General features: G+C 37.8%; 1 protein-coding gene across 24 annotated transcripts in view; it reads right to left on the bottom strand.

Annotated features, from left to right (window-relative positions):
• Positions 1-21076, bottom strand: part of DOCK10 (dedicator of cytokinesis 10) — a 277379-nt gene that overhangs the window by 38969 nt on the left and 217334 nt on the right. For 12 of the 24 annotated variants that reach the window (NM_014689.3, XM_047444918.1, XM_047444925.1 and 9 more), the window contains 12 exons: positions 19443-19589; positions 15388-15471; positions 12559-12655; positions 10262-10306; positions 3853-4028; positions 3610-3726; positions 2068-2179; positions 1350-1471; positions 1148-1262; positions 1000-1066; positions 736-783; positions 54-155 (listed from right to left, as the gene is read on the bottom strand). In NM_014689.3, coding sequence (NP_055504.2) covers positions 54-155; positions 736-783; positions 1000-1066; positions 1148-1262; positions 1350-1471; positions 2068-2179; positions 3610-3726; positions 3853-4028; positions 10262-10306; positions 12559-12655; positions 15388-15471; positions 19443-19589 — 1232 coding nt within the window. The remainder of the gene's footprint in view (positions 1-53; positions 156-735; positions 784-999; positions 1067-1147; positions 1263-1349; positions 1472-2067; positions 2180-3609; positions 3727-3852; positions 4029-10261; positions 10307-12558; positions 12656-15387; positions 15472-19442; positions 19590-21076) is intronic. The other 12 variants (XM_047444922.1, XM_047444921.1, XM_047444926.1 and 9 more) reach the window with 3 other exon arrangements.

The following is a 21076-nucleotide window of genomic DNA, read 5'->3' on the forward strand; positions in this document are numbered from 1 at the left end:
ACACACACACACAGCTATATATAATTTTAAATACCAAGCAAATGTGACATTACCATTGTGACAAGAGACCTGATGTCTGGCAGGAAGGATTGGATCCTTTGAGAGTTCCATTGTTCTGGGTGGACTGCACAAATTTAAATGCAGCAGCAATTTTTCTGCAATGAAAATGGAAGTTTTAATCATAGCTCAGTGTTTGTAATTTACATATAAAAATGAATGGCAACTGACAAAACGATTACTGCACAATGAAATATTTCACATGCTGTGAATTAATCAAAAATAAAACCCTGTTTTCTTTCGGAAATCAGAAATTGGGATTTAGTGAAGGTGCTTCAAACGTTGTTGTCTCATGAGAAAATGATGACAGTACGAAGTTATTCCAGATTACTTGTTTTTTTTTTTTTTTAGTTTACTGGAAATGTTTTCTGAAATAGGTATCTTCCAAGTTATATCTATATAATGATAAATTCATTCTGAAGATACATGAAATGTGGTTTTCTTTCAAAAATTTGTGTTTTTGTGCTTTTCTCCCTAGACAACATGAACTATTCCTAGATCTACAATGCGTATGAGGCAATCTTCAAACTTACTGTGTCTAATGTGACGTCAACCTAACAATCCTTATTTGCATTTTAAGATTTCTAATATATATTTGTAACTCTAACCTGACACATTAATACATGTCATATGCTTTTTAAAAGACCAGATTAACCTATTGGAATTTAAAATTAGTACCTTATTATGTTGCGTTTTCCTAGGTATCTGAAATTTTGAAGACAAACGCTAGAAAGGAGAAAAAAACCACATTTTAATTATTCATATTCTTTTATTATACAAACTGTTCATCTAAGTATATTGAAAGAAAAATATTAAATTTTCTTTAAATAGTTCATATATTATTGATAACTTACTATATGGGTTCTTGAAATGAAACATGGTATAGTGGACTATTTAGAAATTTCCAGAAAAAAGTGTTAAGTCATCAACTCTAAAACTTACTCCAAGATGCTGAAGAAGTCGGACACCTCTGGGCTGGGAGCTCTCTGCCAGTAGGCAATCAGAGTCTCTAAAAGGAAACACCAGGTAGTATGAGAATCTGAAGGTTTTCTTTTTCCTTTTTTCAAAAAAATTAAAGAATTCTCTTTACCGTACGAAATCGTTTTCATAATGTGAAGAAAACACATCAGGAGACTCCTGGTTTCTGCTTGATCTAACTTGTCAAATCGAAGAGTTGAGCCAATCAAAGACAAGGGTCTTGGGATCTGGGAATTCAAGAACCAATCAGGATTGAGTGAGAGTGAGTGACCTCTGCCTTGTAATGATCAGTAGGTTTGAGAGGGAAGTCATACCTTTTCACAGTTGTCCGTCTTCTCACTGCTCTTCTCATTGGTACTTGGATTGGAGTCAAGACTTGCTAAAGATGCTCTGGAGTCAGCATGGTTTACTGTAGAAATAGCTATTGATGAAAATGCTGTAAACACAAGCCACAGCACACGTATGGGAATGAGATGTATGGGCACACACACACAAAAGGTTCACATGATGAACCAAAAAGATGTTGATACTGAGGTAGCAGCAGTGTTGTCAAAGACCAACATAACAGCGTCTGGGATTGGCATTAAAGCCAGCTCTTGTTTTAAAAATGCTTTAGTAAAAGTTCATAAAGATACTTTTGGGAAGGGGCTTTCAACTTTTGACTGTTTATGAGAAACTGAAATGACATTTCCAAAACAGTTCTTAAAAATAATACTTGAAGTTGAAAAGCCATTATATCTTAAAAGGCTGTCTGCAATGAAAACTTAAAGACGGTTTCCAGAATAAAGTAATTTGATAACATCCAAGTAGGCTGCTCCTTAAGCCAAGTAATACTGAACACTAAGTAGAAGAGGAAGTCACTGGATGGAATTCAAAGAAATATGTAAAAAGACTCTTTGGTTGTATAAATGTAGTATACTTTGCCACGTAGATTATGCATAATAAATTACGGACTGAGTAAAAAGCACAATGATATACAATGTAAAGGTGGATGAGTGTTAAAAATAAGTGTTCTCAGAAGATCTCAAGTACCTGCTATGGAATTTAAAACATCTTTAGAAAATGATGTATCCACAGAGTTTGCATGTTTGATAGCTGTCTGGCTTTGAAATCCTCCATTGGTGCTTAGATCATCTCTAGACCCCTGTATTCAAAGTATAGTAAAGATTAATGGGAATCATGGCATTTCAACATTGTTAACCCACATATGCCTTCTTCGTTACACTTCCAATTAAGTGATATTTAATTTGTTCTTTTATATCCCCTTACAGGTTTTCTGCTAAAGTAGGCAGTGAAAACAAATACAGCCAAAACCATACTCGTAGTTATAATTTGATTTATGTGACTTTTTTACAATGTTGTAGAAACAATCTTTTAGATACAGATATACAGACTACATGGCTGGATTGGTTATTGATATATTCATGGATCACATTATAGATATAATTATTACCATGAGTTATCTTATGTACATTACTATTATTAGCAACTACATTTTATTTTATTTTAATTATTCTATTTCATTATCTAACAGGCAGCGTCTTACTGTTACCCAGACTACAGTGCAATGGCATGATTATAGTTCACTGCAGCCTCAACCTCCTGGCTCAAGCGATCCTCCTGCCCTTAACCTCCTGAGTAGCTGGGACTACAGGTATGTGCCACCATGCCCAGCTAATTTTTTAAATTTCTTATTTGTACAGGTGGGGTCTTGCTATGTTGCCCAGGTTGGTCTTGAACTCTTGGCCTCAAGGGATCCTCCCATCTTGGGCTCCCAAAGTTGATGGGATTAGAGATGTGAGTCACCATACCTGGCCTAAAACTATGTTTTAAATATTTATTGCTTGCCAGGCTCTAAAATAAATGTTTTCTAGTACACAATTTAATCCTCATAAAGACACTGTGATTTAGGTATTTTATCCCATTTTATAATGAAGGAAATGGAGTCTTAAGGAGGTTGGCTAACTTATTTCCAGTCACCCAGATAGTCACTGATACTGCTGGGATTTGAAAAAGGTAAAAAAAAAATCCATAGGCATAGCTCCTAACTCCTAGATGGTAATACCTTCCTTAGATACTGGATTCAGCAGTGGGTTATTTCATCTGAGATTTGAACATAGGCAACGGATCTTTAATGGATTGTGCGTAGTCACTGTGGTGCCTCAGTGGAGGAAGGATTATAGTCACTCCTGGGTTGTGACTACAAATAAGGCACTTGGCTATTTATTCTGACACCAGGGGGGGATGTAGGGAATGTAGAAAGTGGTAGGAGAAGGTGTCCACTGAGGAAGGGGTCATAATTGCAACAGAGGAACCTGTAAAAGCTGGAAAGAATTGGAAGCTGATACAGAGAACAGAGAGAAATGAAAGCAAAATGCTGAAGGGTGGATCAGGTGGAGGCTAAAGGGACCTATCTGGAACAAATGACACATTGATGTGAGTACATAGCAGAAAGTGTTGTTCAATGCCTAGTATGTTCACAGATGAGAAGAAATGGTTATCCAGGGCAAAAAATAATTAAAAAAAGACAAATTCTTTATTAACATAGAAATGTGACATATTGTGCAAACGTACCTGATTAGATGTATTGACAGTAAAAGGATACAGGTCCTTCAGATAAATCCTTGGCATATTGTCCAGGAGCATGCCGTACAGGGGCATGTATAAACTTGCTATCTGGGCCTGCTTTCTCTAGGAGAAAAGGTAGCCAAAAGAAATGATTCATGTAAAAATCAATAGGCTTGTCGGTTTCATATGCATTTAATGCAGTGAGCCATTAAATGGTGTTTAGGGAAGGGAGAAAGGAAGATCACTTACTGGCTCTCTGTATCGATCATCAAATGAATGCTTAGCCATTAGATTTTTTAGGACAGCTAAAGCTAAGTGTCTGACATCTTGGTCTTCCTGCAGGGCAAAGCCAACTTCTCGGAGCAGAATTCCGATTAAGAAGTGTTTGCGACAAAATTCATTTGTGACTGAATATTCAGGCATATCTTTGTGAGGAAGGAAAATAACTCATGTTATTGAAAATCAAATGATCACTTTATAATTGAGACAGATATACCAAACAACTACCATCAACTTCTTCCACCACTAGGAGGGATTCAGGAATACAGTCTTGCTACAGAAATGAGGTGTGTTGTATCCTCAAGGAGCATTCAGTAAGGGGACTATTCTGTGTAGACAAACACAAATACAGGTACAAACTAACACACAACATCAACTTTTGAATTCCATAATAACAGCATATTTACAGGATTACAGGATTTGAGAGGGGGAAAAACACATTTTCTGCTTGGAGGAATCAGGATATGTTATAAGTAGGAATCCATCAAGATGAGTCTTTGAGGATACTTGAAGTTTGGAGGTGCAGATCTTTGTGGGAACAGACAGAGGCAATGGAGAAAGGACAGGAGGCTGGGAGAAGCGATTGGATTTTCGATGGCACAGAATTCTGAAAGCGCAGGTGTGGAAGGGAGCAGGTATGGAGGGGAGCACGAGTATGTGGGAGTCAATAAGCACAGTGGCTAAAAGAGGAATGGTGAGAGAATTAGGCTTGAGAGGCTGGGGCTAGATGATGGAGAACAGTACAATTTCCTTAGCTGCCATCTAGGTCCCTCTCCATTTGTATTTAATTCTGTAAGGAATGTTAACACACCGATAGCTTTGAGATCAGTGCCCTGATAAGGCTCATGCTTTACTGACTTATTAATATGGTGTGGCAGGGTGTAAATGAATTAGACTGTGGGGAGATGTGGGGTGAGGGATACAATACAGGACATTGTAGCAATGGGGGAGGGAGGGGGCAAGTGACAACGTGATATCTGGGCTGGGGTAGCAGAAACTGAGTGACAAGAGTAACTCACTAGGAAAAGTTGACTGAAGTATTTGAGGGAGCAAGGAGAGAGAAATGGCACTGCCAAATTTTGAGCCTGAATTATAGGGAAAAGACACTGCCAAATTTTGAGCCTGAATTATAGAGAAAAGACACTGCCAAATTTTGAGCCTGAATTATAGAGAAAAGGCCCTGCCAAATTTTGAGCCTGAATTACAGAGAAAAGAATGTTAAAAATTTCCAGTAATAATGGATTTATTCAAATTGTCCAAAGGGTTTTTAAAATGTAACCATTAATAGTAGTACTTGCACGTACAAGAAAACATAGGGAGAAAGCTCTTTGACAGTGGCATTCACAATGATTTTATGAATATCACCCCAAAAACACAGTCAATAAAAGCAAAAATAAACAAGTAGGATTATATCAAATTTAAAAGTTTCTGGACAGCAAAGGAAGCAATCAACAAAATGAAAAAGCAAACTACAGATTGGGAGAAAATGCTTGCAAACCATATACCTGACAGGGGGCTGATATCCAAACTCTACAAGGAACTCATACAACATAATAGCAACAAACAAACAAACAAAAACAACCCGCCAAGTTTTAAAAATGGGCAAAGGATCTGAATAGACATTTTTTGAAAGAAGACATACAAATGGCCAAAAGATATAGAAAAAGTGTTCAATATCACGGATCATCAGGGAAATGCAAATCAAAACCACAATGCACTATTACCTCATAGTTTTTAGGATGGCTATTATCAGAAAGTCAAATGAGAACAAGTATTGGTGTAAAGAAAAGGGAATCCTTGTACACTGTTGGTGGAATACGGTCATTATAGGAAACAGTATAGAAGGTCCTCAAAAAAGTAAAAATAGAGCTACCATATGATCTAGCAATCCAACTTCTGGGTATACATCCAAAAGAATTCAGATCATTATGTTGAAGAGATACATTGCAGCATTATTCACAATAGCTAAGCTATGGAAACCTAGGTGACCATCTATAGATGAATGGATTAAAAATGGTATATACATACGATGGAGTATTATTCAGCCTCAAAAAAAAAAAAAAAAAAAGAAATCCTACCATTTGTGACAATACAGGTGAACCTAAGAGTCATTATGCTAAGTGAAATAAGCCAAACACAGAAGGACAAATACTGCATGATCTCAGTTAATATGTGGAATCTAAAGAAATCAAACTCTGGTGGACAATAAGAGAATACTTGATAGGTACGATGTACATTATTTGGATGATGGATATCCTAAAAGCCTTAACTTCACCACTATGCAATCTATGCATGTAACAAAATTACACTTGTACCCCTCTAAGTTTCTGCAAAAAAATTAAAGAAGTTAACCTCATAGAAGCACAGAGTAGAAAGATGGCTGCCATGGGCTGGGGAATGGGAGAAATGGGAGGTGGATTTTAGTCAAAGGGTACAAACTTTCAGTTATAAGATGAATAAATTGTGGAGGTCAAATACGTAGCATAGTAAGAATCGTTAATAATACAATATTGTATATTTGAAATCTATTTTTTTCTTTTTTTAAATTTTATTATTATTATACTTTAAGTTTTAGGGTACATGTGCACAATGTGCAGGTTTGTTACATATGTATACATGTGCCATGTTGGTGTGCTGCACCCATTAACTCGTCATTTAGCATTAGGTTTATCTCCTAATGCTATCCCTCCCCCCTCCCCCCACCCCACAACAGTCCCCAGAGTGTGATGTTCCCCTTCCTGTGTCCATGTGTTCTCATTGTTCAATTTCCACCTATGAGTGAGAACATGCAGTGTTTGGTTTTTTGTCCTTGCGATAGTTTGCTGAGAATGATGGTTTCCAGTTTCATCCATGTCCCTACAAAGGACGTGAACTCATCATTTTTTATGGCTGCATTGTATTCCATGGTGTATATGTGCCACATTTTCTTAATCCAGTCTATCATTGTTGGACATTTGGGTTGGCTCCAAGTCTTTGCTATTGTGAATAGTGCCGCAATAAACATACGTGTGCATGTGTCTTTACAGCAGCATGATTTATAATCCTTTGGGTATATACCCAGTAATGGGATGGCTGGGTCAAATGGTATTTCTAGTTCGAGATCCCTGAGGAATCGCCACACTGACTTCCACAATGGTTGAACTAGTTTACACTCCCACCAACAGTGTAAAAGTGTTCCTGTTTCTCCACATCCTCTCCAGCACCTGTTGTTTCCTGACTTTTTAATGATCGCCATTCTAGCTGGTGTGAGATGATATCTCATTGTGGTTTTGATCTGCATTTCTCTGATGGCCAGTGACGATGAGCATTTTTTCGTGTGTTTTTTGGCTGCATAAATGTCTTCTTTTGAGAAGTGTCTGTTCATATGCTTTGCCCACTTTTTGATGGGGTTGTTTGTTTTTTTCTTGTAAATTTGTTTGAGTTCATTGTAGATTCTGGATATTAGCCCTTTGTCAAATGAGTAGGTTGTGAAAATTTTCTCCCATTTTGTAGGTTGCCTGTTGACTCTGATGGTAGTTTCTTTTGCTGTGCAGAAGCTCTTTAGTTTAATTAGATCCCATTTGTCAATTTTGGCTTTTGTTGCCATTGCTTTTGGTGTTTTAGACATGAAGTCCTTGCCCATGCCTATGTCCTGAATGGTAATGCCTAGGTTTTCTTCTAGGGTTTTTATGGTTTCAGGTCTAACATGTAAGTCTTTAATCCATCTTGAATTGATTTTTGTATAAGGTGTAAGGAAGGGATCCAGTTTCAGCTTTCTATATATGGCTAGCCAGTTTTCCCAGCACCATTTATTAAATAGGGAATCCTTTCCCCATTGCTTGTTTTTCTCAGGTTTGTCAAAGATCAGATGGTTGTAGATATGCGGCATTATTTCTGAGGGCTCTGTTCTGTTCCATTGATCTATATCTCTGTTTTGGTACCAGTACCATGCTGTTTTGGTTACTGTAGCCTTGTAGTATAGTTTGAAGTCAGGTAGCGTGATGCCTCCGGCTTTGTTCTTTTGGCTTAGGATTGACTTGGCAATGTGGGCTCTTTTTTGGTTGCATATGAACTTTAAAGTAGTTTTTTCCAATTCTGTGAAGAAAGTCATTGGTAGCTTGATGGGGATGGCATTGAATCTATAAATTACCTTGGGCAGTATGGCCATTTTCACAATATTGATTCTTCCTACCCATGAGCATGGAATGTTCTTCCATTTGTTTGTATCCTCTTTTATTTCACTGAGCAGTGGTTTGTAGTTCTCCTTGAAGATATCCTTCACATCCCTTGTAAGTTTGATTCCTAGGTATTTTATTCTCTTTGAAGTAATTGTGAATGGTAGTTCACTCATGATTTGGCTCTCTGTTTGTCTGTTCTTGGTGTATAAGAATGCTTGTGATTTTTGTACATTGATTTTGTATCCTGAGACTTTGTTGAAGTTGCTTATCAGATTGAGGAGATTTTGGGCTGAGACAATGAGGTTTTCTAGATACACAATCATGTCAACTGCAAACAGGGACAATTTGACTTCCTCTTTTCCTAATTGAATACCCTTTATTTCCTTCTCCTGCCTAATTGCCCTGGCCAGAACTTCCAGCACTATGTTGAATAGGAGTGGTGAGGGAGGGCATCCCTGTCTTGTGCCAGTTTTCAAAGGGAATGCTTCCAGTTTTTGCCCATTCAGTATGATATTGGCTGTGGGTTTGTCATAGTTAGCTCTTATTATTTTGAGATACGTCCCATCAATACCTAATTTATTGAGAGTTTTTAGCATGAAGCATTGTTGAATTTTGTCAAAGGCCTTTTCTGCATCTCTTGAGATAATCATGTGGTTTTTGTCTTTGGTTCTGTTTATATGCTGGATTACACTTATTGATTTGCGTATGTTGAACCAGCCTTGCATCCCAGGGATGAAGCCCACTTGATCATGGTGGATAAGCTTTTTGATGTGCTGCTGGATTCGGTTTGCCAGTATTTTATTGAGGATTTTTGCATCAATGTTCATCAAGGATATTGGTCTAAAATTCTCTCTTTTGGTTGTGTCTCTGCTAGGCTTTGGTATCAGGATGATGCTGGCCTCATAAAATGAGTTAGGGAGGATTCCCTCTTTTTCTATTGATTGGAATGTACATTTGAAATCTATTAAGTGAGTAGGCCTTAATTGTTCTCATCGCACAGACTTAAAAAATAGAACTATATGAGGTGTTAGCTTGATTGTAGTAATCATTTCACAACGCATACATATATCAAAACATGTTTTCCACCTTAAATATACAAAATTTTTATTATTTTTTGAGACAGAGTCTCACTGTGTTGTCCAGGCTGGAGTGCAGTGGCACGATCTTGGCTCACTGTAACCTCTGCCTCCAGGGTTCAAGCGATTATTGTGCCTCAGCCTTCTGAGAAGCTGAGGTTACAGACATGTGCCACCATGCCCAGCTGATTTTTCTATTTTTAGTAGAGATGGGGTTTCACCATGTTGGCCAGGGTGATGTCGAACTCCTGGCCTCAAGTGATCTGCCTGCCTCGGCCTCCCAAAGTGTTGAGATTACAGGCATGATCCACCGCGCCCAATTTTTGTCAATTTTACCTCAATAAGGCTGGGGGAAAACAGTAGTACTAGCACCCGTGTATACAACCTGCTGTCTGCTAGCACTAGGCTAAGCACTTTATGTGCATTATCCCATTTGATCTGCAGGACAACCCGTAAGGGAGGTATGATTAATATAATTAACTATTAGAATATTCCAGCTCATAAATGACCAATAGCAAATTAAACATACTGACTTTTTTAGTCCATAAAGAAGCTACTGAATGTGGAAATTCAGGAATGCAGAAGTTCAGGAGACTAAAATCACAGGGCTTCAGGCTAAATACATTTCTCACTGACATAGTAATATTGAGGATCCAGGAATAGAACACAACTTTTAAATTTCCATCTATGACTACAGAAAAGGTTTGCCTAGACCATTTTAAGTTACTAACCCATTTCAGATAAAAATAAACTTATACTAATATCCTCTGTCTTAACAAGATTGATCAAACCAGGCTGTGGTTTAGCAAAAGACATACATCATATAAAGTCAGTTACATTGAACAAGCATGTTATTATATATATCTGGGAATTTCATTTATGATACAAATTAAGGAAATTTCAGATGCTTTGGGAAATTAAAAAATATTGCCAACCTCTGGAGAATAAAATACGAAAGAATTGAAATTAGGCAATCATTAAACTATCTGTGACAAGCAAACAATTCAGTCAACTTTTTGAATATTTTTATCATATGATATTAAATATGTGAATATTTATTAGCACCCAGAAACTGGAAATTTATAGTTGTCAATATTATTGGATTACAGGTGGTTACTGATGCTTAGGTAAGGTAATATCACTTACCTGATGCATGTAACTCTTGAGTCGATTCTGAAGGTGTCAAAGGATCTGAATTTAATATAAATAAAAAGTTCAGATATATACATATACATACTCAGATACATATGTATTCATTATGTGTAGTTTATACTGAACAATTAAACTATATTATTTAAAAATGTGAGTCTTCAGTATTGCCAGTTTTCAAGGAGAATGTCTTAGGTTATTTGTTTCCTTTTTTTTTGAAACAGAATCTGGCTCTGTCGCTCAGGCTGGAGTGCAGTAGCACAATCTTGGCTGACTGCAACCTCTGCCTCCTGGATTCAAGCGATTTTCCTGCCTCAGTCTCCCAAGTAGCTGGGATTACAGGTGCCCGCCACTGCACCTGGCTGATTTTTGTATTTTTAGTAGAGATGGGGTTTTGCCATGTTGGCTAGGCTGGTCTCAAACTCCTGACCTCAGGTGATCTGCCTGCCTTGACCTCCCAAAGTGCTGGGATTACAGGCATGAGCCACCACCCTCAGCCTATTTGTTTTCTTAAAAAAGAGGGTCATGAGCAGAATTATTCTAATTGTTAGCTTTCTACTTGAGCATCTATTTTTCTATCAGAATTTTGCCTGCTATGAAACATATTTTTATGTTCATTATTTATAGTATCAGATCTACAAAGAGACTGTCAGGCTTTTCTCTGAGCTACTGACTAATAGTAAGTAATATAGTTTGACTCTGTGTCCCCACCCAAATTTCATCTTGAATTGTAATCCACACACGTTAGGGGAGGTACCTGGTGGGAGGTGATTTGATCATGGGGACAGTTTCCCCCGTGCTGTTCTCATGACAGTAAGTGAGTTCTCTTGAGAGCCGATGGTTTTAAAGTGTGGCACTTCCTGCTCTCTCCCTTTCTCTCTCCTGCCGCCATGTGAAGAAGGTCCTTACTTCCCCTTCACCTTCTGCCTTGATTGTAAGTTTCCTGAGGGCTCCCCAGCCATATGGCACTGTGAGTCAATTCAACCTCTTTTTTTCATAAATTACCTAGTCTTAGGTAGTTCTTTATAGCAGTGTGACAATGGACTAAGACAGTAAGCAACTGAAATAAAAATGACCAAATAAAGATTTGGTCCTCTTGAATATCTCAATCAGCCTGGCTAACCAATAATAACTTGGCAGTAATTTATAAAACAAAAATACATTCAGAACAACGTAAACACCTTAAAGTGTTATTATCTAATATGCCATTTCTACCCTATTTTCTATGAAATATGCTTCATAAATTAGAAAAAATTGGAATAATATTATATAGATTATATTTAAGATTAAAATGGCAAAACTTTTATAGGCTTGATAATGTAATTTTCCCTCCAGAATACTAGTGTAAGCTAATAGGTTAAGGAAGTATAATGAGGCTCTTTACCAATCTTAGTGTTTGTGTTCATGAATATCAAAGCAAATATGCCTCTCAGCTGGGTGTGGCGGCTCACACCTGTAATCCCAGCACTTTCAGAGGCCGACGTAGGCGGATCACCTGAGGTCAGGAGTTGGAGACCAGCCTGGCCAACATGGTGAAACCTCTTCTCTACTAAAAATACCAAAATTAGCCAGGTGTGGTGGCACACACCTGTAGTCCCAGCTACTCAGGCTGAGGTGGGAGAATCCCTCAAACCTGGGAGGCAGAGGTTGCAGCGAGCCAAGATCATGCCACTGTACTCCCAGCCTGGGTGACAGAGTGAGACTCTACCTCAAAAACAAAACAACCCCCTCCCCCGCAAGAAAAAAACTGTACCTCATAAATAGTTTACTCATTGGTTGGTAATAAAGTATTTCATGCTCCTAAATAATTTTATTATTTTATTTGCATCTTGATATTTGATTAGTTTTTGATGTCTACATGGGTAATACTCTCTACCATAATACATATATATTTATATATATAATATTTATAAATTATATATATAGTACTTTTCCTCCCTATAATTTTATGTCTCAAAATGAAAGGAAAGCTGTCTTTTGGAGCCCGTAAAGTGCCTCTAGGTTCAAATTATTTGATTAACAATCATCGGGTTTATAATTTTGTTGGCCTTCTCTTTAATAAAAAGGGAAACAGACAAAAATTGAGGAATATGAAGCCATATTCATCACCACATGCCAACAACTTCTTTTGCATTTTAATTTAATTCTGATTACCTGGGTCTGATACCCATGTGACAGCTTCAAACAAAATTATGACTGAAGAAACAGGAAAATAATAATAAACAAAAGGTAAAACGAACAAACAAAAGCATTCACTTTGCAGGAACTGAGGAAAATTCTGGGAATTTTATTACCTGGAATGTTTGCTGATCTTATGGGCAGACACAAAGGGATAAAGTGTTCATGTTGACATACTTCTTGAAGAAAATCAAATTTATACTGGCACAAGGTCTGAAAGAGAGGCAAACTAAATGACTATGACTTACAGACCAAGAAACTGAATAAAAACAAACAAACAAAATCTGCACTTGAATCTTATCCCTAAAAAGAAAAAGTAGTTACCATACACTTGTCGGACCACTAGGTAATTAAGTTGAAAGGATTTTGTCCCCTCCGAACTGCAGTTAAGCTCCCTACTTTTGGAGACTGGTCAAGGCCTCTTCAGGAAATAATCCCATTTGTAACCTACATGTAGCTTCTATGAGATAAGATCCTACTGAGTCATATTTTTTAGCTTCTTTTAGCATGAATCATGACACATTTATTCTGAAAAAAATTCCTGCTGTAACACATGCACAGAATTCTCTCAAAAACTACACTCAGATAATGAAACAGACTTCTACAATGAGCTCCTACCATCCAGAGCTAAGGAAGACAATGGTGTGTATCACGTAAAATTAGAGTGAAACCCTGTATGCCACATGTTCTCATAGTACATTAATTAATTCGTCTTTCCTCCCTGCCCTTGCAAATAGGTCTGTCTTTGCAATAATGTTTGAGTTAGATGGAGAGAAATGGAGTCCAGGCACGGTCAAAGTAACACAGGAGTCAAGAACAGCCACATCAGTAGGAAAAATAAGCATGTTCCTGACTGCTCTATTTTTACTCTCATGCATGCTAAGTAACCATGTTTTAAGACTAAGTTCGATGATCATCATTATATTCACTAATCTCAGCTCACAAAATAAAATATATCCCATTTACTCAGATATTTTAGAATTATATCTTGTGGCAACTTTAGTTAATAATTTAAAATACTGCCATTTCAAAAAGGATAATATTTGACTTAAACCTTTGTACATCAAAGTGAACAGGAGCATTATTAAATTATATGTTAACTATTTTACATTGAGAACATTCTGTTTGGTCTTTGAAAATACATAATTTAGGTCTGCTGCAATTAAATGGATATTCTGCAAATTTCATGCATGACAGGAGCACAAATGAAGAATATACTTTCAAAAAAAATTGAGAGAGAGAATTGGATTTTCAAAACCAGATGACATAAAATCATGTAACTCCTCTGGTCAAAATCTCCACTGCACCCCATCTCCCAAAAATAATGTTTAAGCAACTAAGCATGACGTGAAAGGCTGTAAGAATCTCATGATTTATTTTTGGCTGGTCTAAATCCATTGTTCTTTTCAAATACCTAGATAATTTCCCCTTGAGGACTGGCCTCCTTCACAGTGGGTAAAGGTTAACAGAGAATTATTAATTCATATGCCCTGTCTTCTCTCCTTAAGAGGCAAGCATGTGACCCAAAGCAGGTTGCTCACACACTTCCTCTATGGAAGGTGAATCTGAAGCAGTGTTGGGGGGAGAAAATGGCTTCAGTTGATTCATTTAAGCAGATGCAGCAGCACCTCGGCCAAATGGTTCTTCATTTGCAATTACTGTCAGGCCCCACGTAACGTTTTGGTGAAAGACAGACCATATATACAATGGTGGTTCCATACAATGAGAACAGAGCTATGTAATGGAGTAGGATATATACTAGCTGGGTTTGTGTAAGTACACTCTATGATAGTCACACAGTGACGAAATTGCCTAACAATGCTTTTCTCAGTATGTGTCTCTGTCGTTAAGTGACGCATGACTGTATTCCTTGTGCTTGAAAAGGCCTGGCCCCTGCCTTTTTTTTTTTTTTTTTTGAGACGGAGTCTTGCTCCGTCGCCCAGGTTGGAATGCAGTGGCGCGATCTCGGCTCACTGCAAGCTCGACTCCCGGGTTCACCCCATTCTCCTGCCTCAGCATCCTGAGTAGCTGGAGCTACAGGTGCCCGCAACCACGCCCGGCTAATTTTTTTGTATTTTTAGTAGAGACAGGGTTTCACCGTGTTAGCCAGGATGGTCTCGATTTCCTGACCTCGTGATCCGCCCACCTCGGCCTCCCAAAGTGCTGGGATTACAGGCGTGAGCCACCGCGCCCTGCCAGCCCCTGCTCTTTTCAAAGCCTGCTTCTGCAGCTGCTTCATCAATGCTATTTACTCCCAATTATCTTTCCAATCAATTCCCTTTTGCTCAAATTGGAGTCAGTTTCTGTTGCTTTCAACCCAAAGAACAGTTAACTGATCCAGCTTTCATCATCTGGCCCATTTCCAGTCTTAGTTCCCTCCAGCATATGCCATAACCATAGCTCAGTGGTTCTCAAACCTGAGAGTGCAAAACAATCACCTAGAGGTCCTGTTAAAACAAATTTCTGGGCTCCATTAGCAGCAGTTCAGTTCCCAAGTGATGCTACCTCTCTGGTCTAGGAACCACTGCTCTAGAGTTCTCTTTACATCTCCCCAGCGTATACCCCTATTTGGGTAGGGTATTCAACTGTCCCATTTTGCCCAGGACTTAAAGGTTTCCAGGGAAGTAGGACTTTCAGTGCTGAAACCAAGCCAGTCTAGGGCAAACTGGACTGTAGGAATTGTAGCTGCAAAGAGCCATTCTCTTCACCACCCACAGGAAATAGAAATGAAATGTAAACACTTTCATTCCACTCTCCTTTGTCCCCATTAAGGAAGGACTTGGTAGGCACACTCAGCAGATGAAACATTAAAAGGCTGCCTCTCCTTGGCATAGAAATCACTTTCTGATACAGAGAATGGACTTAAGCAGGTATCCACAGAGACTACTTTATTTATTTACAATGCCATAGTTTAGAAAACAATCACTCCTGTACGTGGTTCTTACCTTAAGGTCACCGGAGGAGAACATGCTGATGTAATTGTTGACCATCTTAAACACATACCCTCGGTCCATAAATGTAAAGCAGCGCTAAAATAGATAAAATTCTAAATTTAAACACTTTTACTTGAAGAATCATTAAAGATTTTAGAAAATATGATTAAATATATTGAAGTAAAATAACACTAAACTAAATGTGTTGTATAATTAGGTATTTAAAAAATCTTCTAAAGATGTTTAAGCAGTCATCCACATATGGCAACTAAAATAACTACAATTTATATTAAAAATGAAAATGAAACAGGGCAATATACTAACAGAGAATAGGTACATTTAAAAATTCAGAAGAAAACAAGAAAAATTGAAAGGAAAAACAGAATGAAAGCATAAATGAATAAAACAAAAATATCAATCAGAAAGTTATAAATCTATATTGATTTTATAAAATGTCACTGGAGCTTTGCAATGAAATATTATAGCCCCTTCTTTTTTATACAGAAAGCTTTAGCTTTCGGTTGTCTACTTTTTTAACCACTTAGTTACATTTTATTATTTTCTTTTAATAATTCCATTTCACACTTATGGGGTTGTAAATCTTCTCCTGTACACACTGGGTCATAATGAGGAGTGGTAGAGACGAGTCAGGAAAGCCTTTTAAATCTCACTGGCCCCTTTTGACAGAGTAGCTCCTCTCCTTATCAGCTGAGGAAGCTTGCATTTGAAGGCTGAAGGAAGGAGATCGTAAGATTTCTATCAGCGAGCTGCTTACTACCTTTCTTATTCTGTGGTCAAATTCTCTTTACTGTATCAAGGAGAGTCTTAAACAGTAAGTAGGCTTGGAGGAGCACTTGCTCTCTCTCCAAAAGACGGATGGTCATGTAACCAGTAACCAAGCTACCACGGCCAAAGACTGCACAGGCAAAGTGTGGAGCAGGAGGAAGGGACCATAGTTCCCAACGCAGGATCTGGGGAGGCACTAGAGCAGGTGCCTCCCATAGTGGATCTGCAGCTCATTACTTGGTGTGTGAGTCTCATTCTATTCACCCACGTGGGTGTGAGTAAACATGCTGCTTGGGAAAATTCCACAGCTGGTGTGGAGTGCTTCTTTCTTGTCGAAAGTGTCCAGGATGATCCATTAAAATGGTTTTGCATTTCTTGGAGTCTCTCCTCAATTTTACTCACAGACAGGACTACACATAAAATCTTGCTATGGAGAGTGGACCAAGAGCTCTATGGAAAACATTCATTTATTCCAAAAGCACAAGCTATTTAAGCCAAGTAGAGTAGATATGAAGGGTTTTCACTTTTTAGAGACTTGCTTATCCATCCTTATCTGATATTTAGAGAGAAATACCACAGATGTTTAAACCAAGTCTCTCTCTAATATTAGGTGATTTCCAAATGGTTTTCAACAGCTCATTGAAACAAAGCAGTGGTTAGTCAGGCGAATGGGCTAAAAGATACGGCTATCCAATCAGCAAAATAAAAATCAGAATGAATCAGCCTTTGCTACCATCTTGGTATTGTGCTTCATAAAAAGAGTGTCTAAATAGGTATGTTCAGATAAGTAGAGCTGTGACCCAGGTGGGTGGCAAAAAGAAAAATGACAAAAGCTGCAATCATTTGAATCCTATTTACTTCACTGAGAGAATAGTTGAGAAATGTACAAGCTTTTTGGCATAATTGCTGAAAAAATATTACTTTCCCATAATGTGGGGTAAGGGAGGCTACCTTTTAATGTAGAACATTTTTATATGCCCACACACTGGTTCCCAGAGGTTCTTCTTGATTCTTGGAGACCAATTTTGAGCAACCCATGGAGTTACAATAATATTTTAATTGTTAAATTCCAATGTTGACTAATTCACAGTATTTGCTAATGTAGACTTCAATAACAAAAAGAGGTAGCAGTCATTTGAAGCCCCAATTGAGCAAATAACTATTGTTTGCTGGAAATATAAGAGATTTATGACATCAGCACTAGGAGTGGGCTGTGTTGAGCATCTGAAAACTCAAATTTATTGGAATTGCACCAAATGACTACGTTCAGTTTTACATTTTCAAAAATCACTTTCTTTTCCTTTCTTTTTTTTCTCTCCTAGCTCAAATGATTCATCTAATAAGTGTTCCAATTTTTTTTAATATTATGTGTCAAATAAATGCCATTAAAACTTCAAATTAGTAATAAGGAGGGTAACTATGAGGTCTTTTCCCTTTTTTAGAGACTTGCTTATTCGTCATTTTTTGCAGTTTAGGGAAGAATATTTCAGATGTTTCTTTCAATATATTTTATTTGCAAACTGAACTATACATAATTCTTTCTAAGTTTCCTAGTAAACTATTAGCATAGCAATAAACTTTATTCCCATAGGTCTTAAAATGTGGTAGAAAACTACAGTAACTTTTCCCCCCTTTAAACTTTTCCCCTTTAACACTTATCATTCTTGTCTCTTTCTGGAAGCAAGAAAAAAGTAAAAATCAGAGACAAAACCTTGAAGAAAAAAATAAATTCAGGATAAGAACACATACAGTGTATAATTTGAAATAGTTTTTAACACATTAAAAAAAAGAAATTAGGCTGGATTAAAGCTCACCAGTGACAAGTTGGGCCCATTTTCCACTTCTATAGGCTTTTAACTGTATATTATTAGCATTTATTTATACATTCTCACACTCACCCATATGTTCTGGTGACTACCATTAAGAAACAAGTCAAATGACTTCATAAAGGTTATAGTAGTCAAGAGTTAGACTAAAGAAGGAGGCACAGAAAACTATTATCTTTCTAATTGCTTGCATTATCTGTTAAATGGTATACTGTAATTATGTATCTTAGTTTTTTCTTCGACTTTGCATTTCTTTCCTCTCAGCTCAATATAAATGGTTGTAACCCAATGAAATATAACTAATTTCCATACATATCCAGTTTAGTAAGTAGCTACTCAATACTTTACTTGATAATTTTTCTTTCATGGGATCAGTGTGATCTTTCCATAATGTAAAAAACAGCGTGGGTCAACCTTGGTGGCTCACACCTGTCATCCCAGCACTTAGGGAGGCCAATCTCTTGAGCTCAGGAGTTTGAAACCAGCCTGGGCTACGTGGCAAAACCCCGTCTCTACAAAAAATACAAAAATTAGCCAGGTTTGTGTCTGTGTCCTACTCAGGAGGCTGAGGTGGGAGGATCGCCTGAGCCCAGGGAGGTTGAGGCTACAGTGAGTTGTGATCATGCCAGTGTGCTCCAGCTTGGGTTGACAGAGTGAGATCCTGTCTCAAAAAGAAATAAAGAAAAAAAAGAGCCTGGAGATAATAAACAAAAATGCTAAATTCCTGAAGCGTTTCCCAAAGTGGCTATTTGGTATCACTGTCAGAGCTAAAGCCATTATAACATCACTTTCAAAGGCAGAAATGTCCAAGAGAATAATATTACTGTAGTGCAGCTTCCTTTTTAAAAATTTCATTTTTTCTCTTAAAATATATTTAGAAATACTATGATTTGACTGCACTCAAATGGATACTTTTCTCTAACCTTAGTTTTTTTTTTCTTTCTTCCTGTCTTTTTTTTTTTTGAGACAGTCTCTCTCTGTCACCAGGCTAGAGTGCAGTGGTGTGATCTCGGCTCACTGCAACCTCCGCCTCCCAGGTTCAAGTGATTCTCCTGCCTCAGCCTCCCAAATAGCTAGGACTACAGGCACGCACCACCACGCCCAGCTAATTTTTGTATTTTTAGTAGACACGGGGTTTCACCATGTTGGCCAGGATGGTCTCTATCTCTTGACCTCATGATCTGCCCGCCTTGGCCTCCCAAAGTGCTGGGATTACAAGCATAAGCCATCGCGCCCGGCCTTCTAACCTTAGTCTTTATTCAATAAGACTTCAAATTGAAAAAAAAAATTAAAAAGTATTTCAAGCAATAAAGATGTATAAATGAAAGTTTTCATCTGACAGTGCTAGTTTTGATTTTTCATCATACATGAAGATGTGAACTGATGAAAGTTTAGACTATCTTGCATCCACCAACATGGGGCCTTGAATAGAACTGCGATCTCATATAACTGTACCTTGAGAAATCTGGCAACGCTGTGGTTTGCCCTTCTTGTTTCTTCAAGTGCATCCTTGTATTTCCAAATCACATGGTCGGATAGGACCATGACAAGATTGTCCAATTCATTTTGGTAAGATTCAGGAAATCTCTGAGGCCGGGGAAGCTAAGGAAAGAACGGATTATATCTTTCTAATGTGGCATGTGAAATATTAAGCCGAGGAAGTATCAACTGAAATATTTACTTTATTTTATAGGTCATTAAAGAAAAAGAATCCTTTTGAAAACTTGAAAGCAGTAATAAAATAGAAGCCTTTTACTTTCAAGGTCATGATTTCCATCATTAATATTTAGTGTTTCCTTCAATTTTGGTCAATAAAATTTTCACTTTATAATAAAAGTCAATCATAACAAATATTAATTGCAAACTATTGAAACAATGTAGCAATGTACAAAGTAAAATGTGAACCTTCTCTGTGGCCTCTCATATCTTACTTTCCCTCCTTCCCTCTCAGGGAATAGCTACTATTAATGGTTAATGAACATTATTCTAGATATTTTGGACATGTAGTTCTCTATTTCATTTAAAAATAAATTATTTTGATTTTTTTACAACTAGGAATGCCCCCAATAAACTAGTCTAAGAAATTAATAAATGAATAACTGAATGAATACAGATATTGGTTTGAAATGTCCTCTGACATTTGGTGAGTCCCAGCTAGTTTTAACTCCCTGGTCCCAGTATATGCCACAGTTAAGAGACACCAGTGGGACCTCACAAGTCAAGATAAAGAAGGGCTTGGCTGTGAGATGACATTACATCCACTGAATAAAGCTCTATGGATCTCAAAAGACCATTTCAGGTCCAGATATCCATCCCTCCTGTTTGGACTCCTGCATATGAGGGGAACATTTGAGGCAGCCGAGTTCTTCCATCTCAGACTCTGCTTTTTTTTTTTTTTTTTTTTTTTTGGAGACAGGGTCTTTCTGTGTCACCCAGATTGGAGTGCAATGGTGTGATCTCAGCTCACTGCAACCTCTACCTCCTCAGTTTAAGTAATTGTCCCACCTCAGCCTCCCAAGTGGCTAGGACTACAGGCGCCCTCCTGTAGTCCATACCCAGCTAATTTTTAGTAGTGACAGGGTTTCGTCATGTTGGCCAGGTTGGTCTTGAACTCCTGACCTCAAGTGATCTGCTTGCCTTGGCCTCCCAAACTGCTAGGATTACAAGTGTGAGCCCCCGTGCCCAGCCTTACTTCTGATAAGATTCATTCATCTTTACCAGCTGGCTTTAAAAATTAGACCCAGACACATTTTCACTATAGATAGAATCATGGAATTTAGAGTTACACTGAACTGTGTATTTCTAAATTGTGAGCACCCAGACTTCCATGCTGCAAGGATAAAAATCATGAAGGCTGAAGTTACAGGAGTTGTATGAAACAGATATTTAATGGAATTTAACGGGATGTTGGAGCTGGTTTAGGCTGGCTTCTATTTTTTTTTTTTTTTTTTTGAGATGGAGTTTCGCTCTGTTGTCCAGGCTGGAGTGCAGTGGTACGATCTCAGATCACTGCAACCTCCGCCTCCTGGGTTCAAGCAATTCTCTGCTTCAGCCTCCTGAGTAGCTGGGATTACAGGCACCTGCCACCA

Source organism: Homo sapiens, chromosome 2 (genome assembly GCF_000001405.40).
Source record: "Homo sapiens chromosome 2, GRCh38.p14 Primary Assembly".
Classification (NCBI taxonomy): Eukaryota; Metazoa; Chordata; class Mammalia; order Primates; family Hominidae; genus Homo; species Homo sapiens.